Source organism: Homo sapiens, chromosome 15 (genome assembly GCF_000001405.40).
Source record: "Homo sapiens chromosome 15, GRCh38.p14 Primary Assembly".
NCBI classification, from domain to species: Eukaryota; Metazoa; Chordata; class Mammalia; order Primates; family Hominidae; genus Homo; species Homo sapiens.
This window is the reverse complement of record NC_000015.10, coordinates 50,487,185-50,498,818: the sequence shown is the minus strand read 5'-3', so window position 1 is coordinate 50,498,818 and position 11,634 is coordinate 50,487,185. Positions and strand designations below refer to the sequence as shown.

The 11,634-nt window shown below is 37.4% G+C and overlaps 2 protein-coding genes across 7 annotated transcripts in view; one reads left to right on the top strand and one right to left on the bottom strand.

Annotated features, from left to right (window-relative positions):
• Positions 1-5,794, top strand: part of USP50 (ubiquitin specific peptidase 50) — a 53,642-nt gene extending 47,848 nt beyond the window's left edge. For 2 of the 4 annotated variants that reach the window (XR_007064445.1, XM_047432465.1), the window contains one exon: positions 1,122-2,246. Coding sequence is in view for 1 of the 4 variants with exons in the window: in XM_047432465.1 (XP_047288421.1) it covers positions 1,122-1,127 (6 nt within the window). In the remaining 3 variants the exon portion in view is untranslated. Of the gene's footprint in view, positions 1-1,121; positions 2,247-4,883 lie in introns of those variants that run through there. The other 2 variants (XR_007064444.1, XR_007064443.1) reach the window with 2 other exon arrangements.
• The window catches only part of USP8 (ubiquitin specific peptidase 8), a 90,017-nt gene that overhangs the window by 15,603 nt on the left and 62,780 nt on the right, over positions 1-11,634 (bottom strand). For all 3 annotated transcript variants that reach the window (NM_001128610.3, NM_005154.5, NM_001283049.2), the window contains 7 exons: positions 8,938-9,018; positions 8,294-8,556; positions 5,906-6,118; positions 4,539-4,749; positions 2,735-2,971; positions 1,588-1,730; positions 91-223 (listed from right to left, as the gene is read on the bottom strand). In NM_001128610.3, the coding sequence (NP_001122082.1) occupies positions 91-223; positions 1,588-1,730; positions 2,735-2,971; positions 4,539-4,749; positions 5,906-6,118; positions 8,294-8,556; positions 8,938-9,018 (1,281 nt within the window). The remainder of the gene's footprint in view (positions 1-90; positions 224-1,587; positions 1,731-2,734; positions 2,972-4,538; positions 4,750-5,905; positions 6,119-8,293; positions 8,557-8,937; positions 9,019-11,634) is intronic.

Here is an 11,634-nt window from a genome sequence, read left to right as displayed (position 1 = left end):
TTCTTACTCTTCCATGAGGTAGGAAACCACTTAAAACTTTTTTTAAACTTGCTTTGAAACAAAAAGTCTTCAGTTCAAAGAGATACTTACTGAAACAGAAAACAAATTATATTTCTTCAAATTGTTCTTTGGACCAATAACATACTGTGACAAGTCAAGATTTTCTAACGGGAAGTCCACAGATGTCTGTAATTTTTGTTTCCACCTGCCATCGTAGGAAAAACTGCAGAACAAAACATTACAATTACACTGACAGAGGAAGATACCAGGATGAATCCTCATTCATTAACATCTAGATTTTTAGCCAGGACTGTAAAATCCATTTCAAATACAAAGACTTGGAATTTTAGTAGTAGAGGAACCTGTTAAAGACATTTGGCTTCATTTCCATTTTACAAACAAGAAAACTGAGGCATATGGATATTTAATGATGTGCCTAAGGTCAAACAGCCAGAATGGTAGAGGTAGGACTATACTCTGGTCCAGCTACAACTGCTACATGAGTCTTCTAGGAAGGTAAGACCCACATGTTTATAATGCTGACCACCACAAAAGAAAGAATGACAGCTGCTCTCGAGTCAAGCTTGTACTTCAGAGAAAACTAGAGCCAGAAATTGAGAGTAGGAGACTACTGACTAAAATAATGTCATTCATTCCATTATTCTGGCATATTCTGCTCCTTTAAACATCAAAACAATGATATCTTGGTTGGTGTAATATGGTTATTTCATAATTTTGAAAATATTCAGCATTAAAAATTTTAGCAAATGTGTAATCACTTATAGAATGTTTATACTTCCAGAATCCTCAACTAGGACAATGGAAAAAACTAGCTTTTGTTAGAAAAATTTACACAAGAGAAATCTGAACATGTAAATTTGGAAATTAATATATGGAACTAAGAATCTCAATACAAGATAAAACATTTTTAACAGAAATGCTTTTTTGACACAAAAATTACAGCTCTCAATAAAAAAGTGCAACTTCCTTTAAAAAGTTTTTCAAATAATCAACTCAAAGTTCTTGAGTTACATGGATTATGTGATTATGTGAAGACCAAAGAATCAGCAAAAGATCTGGTTCGTGTTTTATAACTCTTGTCATTATTCCTTCTATTATAGGACTAGATCTTTTCCATCAATTGGAAAAATCTGGATGAAATTATTTCTGCACTTAATGGTATCGTTAACATATTTTATCATTAAAATACTTTAAAAATTATAAATTTTATTTAACACATAACTAAGTCTGTTATGCTTTAGTCTGCTGTTTGAATGTTACATTTCATGTGCTAATTTGTTTGAATTATACTGTAATATTTTTATACATTTTCACTTGATGCTTTGTAATTATTTAAAATTATAAGGAATTACATGAAATAGTGGTATTGTCATTTTGCTGTGGTACTGAAAACACTGAGGTGAACTAACAGTCTCATTTCTGCTTTATTTCCCTAGATCTACTGTAACCAGATAATCGCCCTTTGTTATGTGCCCATGGCAGGCAGTACAACAAGTATAAATTACACAGAACTTAAAATTCCCTCATTTAATTTCACTGAACAGGAGGACAAACTTTCCCCTTTACCGTTTCAGATGCACTAAAAGCACAGGTGGTAACTTCCAGATTTCTATCTTTTTTAGAGAATCCCGTCGAGCTCTGCAATGACTGCAGTAAAATCTGTTGTTATCTGTGAGTTTTTCTTCTTTGGAAAATAATCTAAGGCAATCCTGGCAGAAAAAAACAAGTAGCAGATACTCGTTAATTCGATTCTTCAATAATGTCAGAGAGCACCTATTTAGTTAGTCACTCTGCAGGCACCAGTGATTCAACAGCAATCTACACAAAAGAGTTCCTGCCTTCCCAAAGCTTGTGATCTAGTGAGAAGCATAGACAAGTGAACAATGACAGCACAGAGTGTGGTGAGTGCTACCTACAGTGTGTTGTGACAGGACACAGGAAAGCCCCTAACCTGGTCAATCAGAGAAACCCTGTTGGAGGAAATGACATTCTGGAGGTACTTTAAGACTAAAGGTATCAACAAGCTTTTATATAAGAAACATTGTTGATACATGGAAAACAGGATATTTATTTGATATCCCCATGTAAAGCAAATGCTTATGAAAAGTAGGCCTAAGTTAGTCAACAGACAACTTTCCAAATTAACTTATAAAACTTTTTAAAAACATACTAACAATCCTGAAATCCTGAAAGAATATTTAATAAAGGTATCTTTAAAAAAGAAATTTCTAATTCTTTCTAATCTACATAGGCCTAATTATAAAACAGAATTTATATTGAGTTTTACTGATAAAAGGTTTTTTTTTTTTTTTTTTTTAAGACGGAGTCTTGTTCTGTCCCCTAGGCTGGAGTGCAGTGGCGAGATCTCAGCTCACTGTAAACTCCGCCTCCAGGGTTCACGCCATTCTCCTGCCTCAGCCTCCTGAGTAGCGGGGACTACAGGTGCCCACCACCACGCCCGGCTAATTTTTTGTATTTTTAGTAGAGATGGGGTTTCACCGTGTTATCCAGGATGGTCTCGATCTCCTGACCTCGTGATCCGCCCACCTCGGCCTCCCAAAGTGCTGGGAGTACAAGGTATGAGCCACTGCGCCCGGCCGAGTTTTACTGATAAAATGTTTGTAAGGGTAAAGACCAGAAATTTACATCTCTATATCCATAAAAACAGCATTTTTATCCAATAAATCATTTTCTCTCTACTTCTTAAACTTACCTGTAATGTACATTTACTTGTGGATGCTAGTGGTAGAGACAAATACATGAAGGCCTCAAATGTCCTAGACTTTTTGTGACATGTGAGGCACTGTACTGTAGATTTGAATTGACCCTGAAAAAGTGCAACAATAATAGACTCATTGAGCTGCTTGTGTTTCTGCCAGGCATGTTCTGCAGCTTTAAAGTCATCGAGATGATCATTATTTTCTTCTTTATATCTCTTCCGATTATCAGCCTGGAAATAAAATGATTTAAGCTCTATATTAATATCTCAAAGAAAACATTTAAATTGAAAGAATAAAAGTGAATACAAACACTTGCCAGATTTAGAAACACCTGTAGTTCTCATAAAGGAGTTCTGATCTCACTGAGTGTGGCAAAAAATAATTCTAGCCAAAAATACCAAAAAAAACTCACTCACTTTATTGAAGGAATGTGACTTGTTGAAATTTCCCAAATTTTTATTTAAAAAGCTGAAAAGGGCCAGATGTGGTGGTTCATGCTTGTAATCCCAGCATTCTGGGAAGCCAAGGCAGGAGGACTGCTTGGGGCCAGGAGTTCGAGACCAACTTGTGCAACATAGTGAGACCCCCCCCTCCAATCTCTACTAAAAAAAGAAAAAGCTAAAAAGTTTGGTTTTTAGAAAAGATATCCCACATATAGCTGGGAATTAGGGCTACAACTGGACATATATAATTTTGTTGCCCTAGCCTCTCTCTCTCTATATATGTATATATGTATGTGTATATATATGTGTATATATGTATGTATATATACACGTATATATGTATATATGTATGTGTATATATATGTGTATATATGTATGTATATATACACGTATATATATATACACAAATATTTTTGTGTAGGTGTGTGTGTATATATATATATATCTGTTCAGTGGTTAAGAATGGTGACCCCAAAATATGTGAGACAAAAAGTGCTAAAAAGAAGTTGTAGTATGTAAATGGAGGGTGGTCATTTATGTATACATACATGCCTTTATAATAACTAGTCACATGAGTCATTTGGTTACATGGAGTAATTTTTTTTTTTTTTTTTTTTAGAAAGAGTCTCACTCTGTCGCCCAGGCTGGAGTGCAGTGGTCACTGCAATCTCGGCTCACTGCAACTTCTGCCTCCCAGGTTCAAGCGATTCTCCTGCTTCAGCCACCTGAGTAGCTGGGATTACAGGCACATGCCACTACACCCAGCCAATTTTTGTATTTTTAGTAGAGACGAGGTTTTGCCATGTTGGCCAGGCTGGGCTCAAACTCCTGACCTCAGGTGATCCACCAGCCTTGGCCTCCCAAAGTACTGGGATTACAGGCATAAGCCACTGTGCCCAGCCAAGTAATTCTTATTTTAGAAGGATGTGTAAGAATAAAGGCATGTTCCACTTTCAGCAAGGGACTGGGAAAAAGAAAAGAATAAGGATATGTACAATAACATATACATATTATATAAACATAACATACAATAAAAATGCTCAAACTGTCTATAATCTTTTATAAGATCATTTGTTTATGATTTTACTTTCACATACATGTGGGTCACAAACGCCAATAACTATTTTAACATTTGCAAATTTCTCAGCAATACTGCTTGTTAATTAGTAAATACCAACTGTATATGCTTCAAATATTACACTTACCTGATGTTTTATAATTCTCTTATACAGTCACTATTTGAATAAACAAGCACTGAACTATCACCAACTAGAATTTTAAACTGCTATAAAAATACAGTGCTACTGAGCAACCCTAAAGAGTCTCTGCAACTTAGAAAAATCAAATTTCTTACTTTATTTAGATCTTCATGGAGACCATCCATTAGGAACAGAAGCAATTCTTGTGAATCTTGCTGACTGTATCCTGCAAACTGGTCATTGATCTTCCCAATGGTGATTTTAAAGTCCTTTGGACTGATATATCTATACTGTCCTGTCCACAGGGCTTTCATGATTATACCAAATTCTTCTGCCACTTCACCTTTATGCCCCAACAAATTTGACCTGTGCAAATAAAAGTTGTTACAAAAGACAATAAAGGAAATTTAAAAGTTAAGCAAGGTACAGTAGATTCTTGATGTCAACATGAAATTATTCACATACTGTAGCACTACATTAAACTACTTATTTATTTGCAGGCTCACCACCAGATTCTCATCTGAATCTGACTTGCTTACATCCCTTCAGCTTCCTTCTTTTGGCTGCAAGCCCTGCATGGTCTCCTCATCATCAACAGGCTCCAGTTCATGACAGCGAGGTTCTGCCTTCTGGCACTGCTCTCATCCTGTCTGTCCTTTACTAATCAGAGAAGGCTTTACTCTTTTTTGAGATAGGGTCTCATTCTGTCACCCAGGCTGGTGGAGTATAGCGGCACAATCACGGCTCACTGCAGCCTTGACCTTCTGGGCTCAGGTGATCCTCCCACCTTAGCCTCCCAAGTAGCAGGGACTATAGGCATGTATCACCACACCTAGCTAATTTTTGTAGAGACGGAGTTTTGCCTTGTTGCCCAGACTGGTCTCAAACTCCTGGGCCCCAAGTGATCTGCCCACGTCAGCCTCCCAAAGTGCTAGGATTACCAGTGTGAGCCACCATGCCCAGCCTTCATTATTCCTAAGGATAAAGATATTTTCCCCTTTCCTAATTTGACTTTTCTGGAGCTGAGTGGTAAGTACTATGGTTTGAAAGGTAAAATGGGTTCTTGATGTCAACATGAAATTATTCACATACTGTAGCCCTACACCAAAATGCTTACTTATTCATAGGTTACCACCAGATTCACGTCAAATATTCCAAAATTCAGGTGTTGCCAATGTGACAGGATTAAGAGATGGGGCCTTTAAAGAGGTGATAAGGCCATGAGGGCTCCCCTCCCGGGTGAACAGGATTAGGTGCCGTTTAGGGCTCGACAGGACGAGTCTGTCCTCTTTCGCTTCCACCTTCTACCCTGTGAGGATGCAGCAAAAAAGCGCACCAGATGCCGGCACCTAGACGATGGCCTTCCCAGTCAAGAACTAAGAGAAAATAAATTTTTGTTCTTTACAAATTATCTAGTCTTAGGTATTTTGTTATAGCAGCAGAAAACTAATGGACTAAGACAGTAAATATGGTTAGATCATCCTTTTAGCATTATAATGCAAAAAGTATGACATGTATTTACCTGTTAATATCATCCTGATAACAGTTTCGGTTGAAATAATCAGCCAAATGTGGAGCGTTACATAGGCACTGCAATATTGAGTTCATATAACAAGTATTTCCTAAGTTACGAAGTCCAGTAAGAGCTGGTCCAGAACCTCCAAAAACAGGATTGAGGTTCCGAATCTGAGAAGCAGAAAGCCTTGAGATCTCAGCTTTAGGATAACATGTTGGCCTGAGGAAGAAAAAGGATACAAGATGTCTTAAAATGCTGAGCATATGAAATTAAGGTTCTATACTATAAATGGCAGCAAACTGTAGCACCTGTACCACAGGCATCTTGTAAACAGTTAATATGTTAACTCATAAGATGCTGGGCCTTCCAGGACATTTAATATTTAGGTTAACATTAGTCATACGACTAAGGTCTCAGACCTTCCCATGAAACACATACCTTTAACCTCTTAATGTGGGTCATGGTTCTTAGAGACACCTTGAGATAGATTATCTCACTTCTCATGAACTAGGAGCTCTAGTAGAGAAGGCTCTTTTAAACTCCTTTAAATGATCCCTGGAAGTTTGGCATTATCAAATGTTTGAACTCACCCAGAATGCCAAATGAGGAATAATAAAAAAATAAAAACAAAAACAAAAAAAACCATACCGTGGAGTAGATATCAAGGGAAGCAGAGGTTATTTGGGTACTATTACTTAAATTCTAGAGTGTGTTGACTATTCACGGATGGATACACAATCACAGTAAAAAAATACAGTTCCAGCTGGGCTCAATGGCTGTCTATAATCCCACCACTTTGGGAGGCCGAGGTGGGCAGATCACCTGAGGTCAGGAGTTTGAGACCAGCCTGGCCAACATGGTGAAACCCCGTCTCTACTAAAAATACAAAAAGTAGCTGGGCATGATAGTGGACGTCTATAGTCCCAGCTACTCAGGAGGCTGAGGCAGGAGAATCGCTTGAGGAGGCAGACGTTGCAGTGAACTGAGATCATGCCACTGCACTTCAGCCTGGGCAACAGGGTGAGATTCCGTCTCAAAAAAAAAAAATTCCTTAGTTGCACTAATCACGTTTCAAAGTAGACACAAACCATACTGGACAGCACAGATACAGTACATTTCTATCACCATGGAAAGATCTGCTGGACAGTGCTGGGGCAGAGAATGCCTTCTAGACTTCTGTAATATGGTGTGTTTGATTTATATGTGGAACTACTAGAACTGCTGAAGCATAAGGAAAATCTTAACTGATAGGTCTTTTTTCTTTTTTAATTAATCCTTAACGTTCTTCCACCCCTAAAAGTAATACTGAGAACAGATTAAACTATATTTCAATCAGCTCCTCTTTACCTGTACTCAGGTGCATGTACTCGTGTGCTTTTTCTGTTCAATATATAAAAAAATACACAAACAGCATACAGTCCTTAAAACATTATCAAATTAACACACTTAAGAATGATTCAAGAAGAAATTAAATCTCACTAGTTATTATAATGAACTCTAAAATCTATAACAAGATTAATAGAATTTTTAAAAGCTCCTTCGAATAAGTCTGCACCTGGCAGGGTAAGTTCTCAGGAAGAAAAAATTTCAACTTTCTTAGGATGTGTTCAACTTACTTAGGATTAGGCTTAAAAGAGCCTAATTAAAATTCCTTAGCAAATACAAGTGTATAATAAATGGGAAAAAAATCATTTATTTATACTTCCACCTATTGCCCCCCTCCTCCCAAAAAAGTAAGTAAAGATTAGAAGTGGTACACAGACTTAAATCATCTCCTCATAGCCCTATCAGTCATAAGCTAAGAGGATTCCAAAAGGGACGAAGCCAGAAGTATAGCTAAATGAAACTATTTTGGGAAACCTAACCTATTGGTCAATATTTGTAAACAGAATAGCAAAACTACAACGAAGGAAAAGGGAACAGAATAAGGATTAGAGGATGATATACTAAAGTGCTTGTTATTTTAATACTATAGGAAAACTTCGCTTACATTATTGGCTAAGGGGAAAAAAAGTTTGGAACTTGAGTGCTGCAACAAGGCAAGCTCAATATTGCTGAAAATTATGGTCCTCAAAGGGAGATTCCGGGACCACAGGCGGTCTATGAAAAACGTGAGGGTACTCTGGCATGAAACTGTAAAACATAACAATGATTTTATATCTACATTAACACTTAAAATAATCCTCTCTGGTATGATATTAAGTGAGCACTTGGGAGAAAAACCAACAACATTTTCTCTATTCATTTGTTTTGTTCTCTGTGGTAAATAATAACGGCTGGTATAGCCATCCACAGAAATTTCCAACTCCCTGACACTAACATACTGACAGATTCAGAGTAGAAACTTTGAAATACAGCACATTATTTTAGTTCTAGGAGTTAAGATAAACATACTTGTTTTCCCGATTAACTGTTGGAGTTACTGTTGGCTTCCTCTTCTCTTCCTCTTGAATAGCCTGGGTTATATCTGGGGAGGAGTAGGAGCGCTTCAGTTTGGAAGGTTCCCTATCCCGCTCAGCAGGAATCTGTGGCTTGGCTTTATGAGTTGGAGGGGTGGAAGGAGGTGCAGATGAAGGAGCCATTTCCGGTGGGTACATATGAACAGTGTTGGTGGGTGAATGATAATAACGAAAGGTTCCAGTGATTGGGTCAAGAAACTTAGATGGAAAAGAAAAAAAAAAACAGGTCAAAAAACAAAAATAAGCATTATATAAACAAAGAAATCACTCCAAAGTATTCTGCTAAATTTACTTTTGGATTAAAATAATTCGAATAAAATGGCGATAAACTTCAAAAGAAATTTAGGTTTTAAAGTAATACACTATTTCTAAATGATAAATGCCAGAATGCTCATATATTGTAGCCAGCATCTCAGGTTGGGTATTGAGAAATCTCACCCTGTTATAATTAGGGGAATAAGCTATGTTCTCTATAATGGAGAAATGGAATTGACTCTGCATTACAGAAGATGTAAAATAAACAAATAAAACATTTTTTAGGAACACAGTGGCTATTTTACTGCTAATTCTGACTTTTACCTTGGCCCAGCCTGAAGGCAGTCCTGGTACGATCCTCCCCATTTCTTCACTTCGTGCTCTTGTCAAAGGTTCTCGTTGAGCCTAATTAAAATAAAATAAAAAAAATTAAAAAAAAATTTTTTTTAAATCTGATTTTTCAATTAAATTTTGTCATATAAAAACTTAAGCTACTTGTACCAAAGAATCAAAAAACCTTGCCTTGGCTGCCCTTCATATTTTAAAAAACAGATTCAGAGATGAAAAAAATTATCTTTTTCTCAAAGTACAAATATTACTATACCAAGGTGTAGAGGAGTATGTCTAAGCCTGTAATGATAGCAGGTGGCAAGGTGGAGGTAGATGGCCTTCTGTGGTAGTTCACGGGGAGGAAGACAGTGGATCCAAGCAAATAAGAAAGGCCACATTTTTTTTTTTAATTTTGCATCTCAAGGTATTTTAGTCAAAATTTTTTTTTTAGTTTTCCACAGCAAACGATTACGTAAAATATAAACCTAATGTATTCTTTAGGACTAAGTGTGCCTTTTCTCTATATGCTAAGAGGTGTAAGTAGAGAATAGACGTTATAGTATCCTAGCAAATGAATATTCACAAGAAAGGCTACAAAACTTCATTATCTTGGCTTATTCTAAATCTACCTAAAGTCATCTTGCTCTCCTAACATTTCTTCTTCTATATTCATTCATCCCACAAAATACTGATGAAATGTTATATAAGTAAAAACAAGCCAATATATTGAGGCATCAACCTCAATATAATTGAATGTGATACTTCCACTTCCTTTAAAAAATTAATAGAAAACAAAAACGCCTGATGAACCACCCATTTCTATTTTTATATTCTTCATGTCTTAAGATACATACATTCTAGGCCAGGCAGGGTGGCTCATGCCTGTAATCCAGCACTTTGCGAGGCCAAGACAGGAGGATCTCTTGAGCCCAGGAGTTTTGAGATCGGCCTGGGCAACACAGACCCCGTCTCTATAAAAAAATTTTTAAAATTAGCCAGGTTTGGCCGGGCACAGTGGCTCACGCCTGTAATCCCAGCGCTTTGGGAGGCCGAGGCAGGTGGATCACCTGAGGTCAGGAGTTCGAGACCAGCCTGGGCAACATGGTGAAACCCCATCTCTACTAAAAAAAAAAAAATCCAAAAATTAGCCAGCCATGGTGGTATGCACCTATAATTCCAGCTACTTGGGAGACTGTGGCAGGAGAATTGCTTGAACCTGGGAGGCGGAGGTTGCAGTGAGCTGAGTTTGTGTCACTGCACTCCCGCCTGGGTGGCAGAGCGAGACTCCATCTCCAAAAAAAAAAAAAAAAAAAAAAAAAAAAAGCCAACCTTGATGTGATGGCATGCACCTGTGGTCCTAGCTACTCAGGAAGCCGAGGTGGGAGGATCGCTTGAGGCAAGTGGTCAAGGCTTGAGCCCAGGTGGTCAGGTGAGCTATGATCATGCCACTGTACTCCTGCCTGGTGACAAATTCTGTTGAATACAAACATGTAATAAATAGAATATGTGTGCTGGAAAAAAATTCTGTCAAAATGAAGGCAAATGGCACAACTAAATATCCACATGCAAAAAGATGGATTTAGATCCTTACCACACTGTATATAAAAATTAACTTGAAATGGATCATAGATCTAAGCACCAAAACTGAAACCTTAAGAAGAAAACATCTTCATTACTTTAGGACTTTGGGTCAGAAAAAATGTTCCTTAGATACAATACCAACAGCACAATCCACATGTGAAAAATATGACAGAATGGACTTCCACAAAAACTTCTGTGCTTCAAGAAACTCCATCAAGAAAACGAAAAGATAAGCCACATATTGGGAGAAAATGTTTGCAAATGTCATTTAAAAAAAGTTTAGAGATGGGGTTTCACTACATTGCCGAGGCTGTTCTTGAACCCTTGGCACAAATGATTCTCTTGCCTCACTCTCACAAGTAGCTGGGTCTGCAGGCTTGTGCCACCACACCTAGGCTTATACTTATACTGATTATGACCTTAGGGATTTTAAAAACACTGCCCTCAAGCATTTAGCACAGTGCTAGAGACATAGTAGTTGCTCAGCAAATACAGTAAGTTTTATTGAGCCTTCTTAATGCGTGAGAATTACTTTAAAATGCTATTTCATCAATACTTAGTTGTCTGTGGCATTTTACACAGAATGAGTGTAGAGTGGATCATACAGTATGAGATTTAAGACAGCCAGAAGATATATTGAGTACCCTTGCTTCCTGAAGGGCAGAGATGGGGCAAGATGGTGGGTGGCCAACAAAGACACTTTAGTTTTCCTTTCAATGTTGCCAAAGACCTTGGCTGTAGCTGGTGTGAAGCCCTGCTTAGAATGTCAGGACCAGTGGGAGTAACTGCAAACCTCAATTTTCACTTTCTATTTTTTAGTCTTCACTTTGTGGTTCCAGTCATCTAATCCCTACTCTTTCTCTTTAAAAGGAACAGAAGGATGTCAGAAGAAGAGAAGGCATGTGTGTGTGTCTCTCTCTCTCTCTCTCTCTTCATTTTCTCTTATTGTTAACTCATTTTCAGCTCCTTTGGGTTTCACTTTTGGAGCACTGCTGTTTGACTAAGGCTTAAGTTCTTAATTTTTGTAAGGCTTACACATCTTAAGAAATTTTATTTTTCGTTCTTAGAAGAACTTTAATAAAACGTGTTTTTTTCTGTTTTTATTTTTCC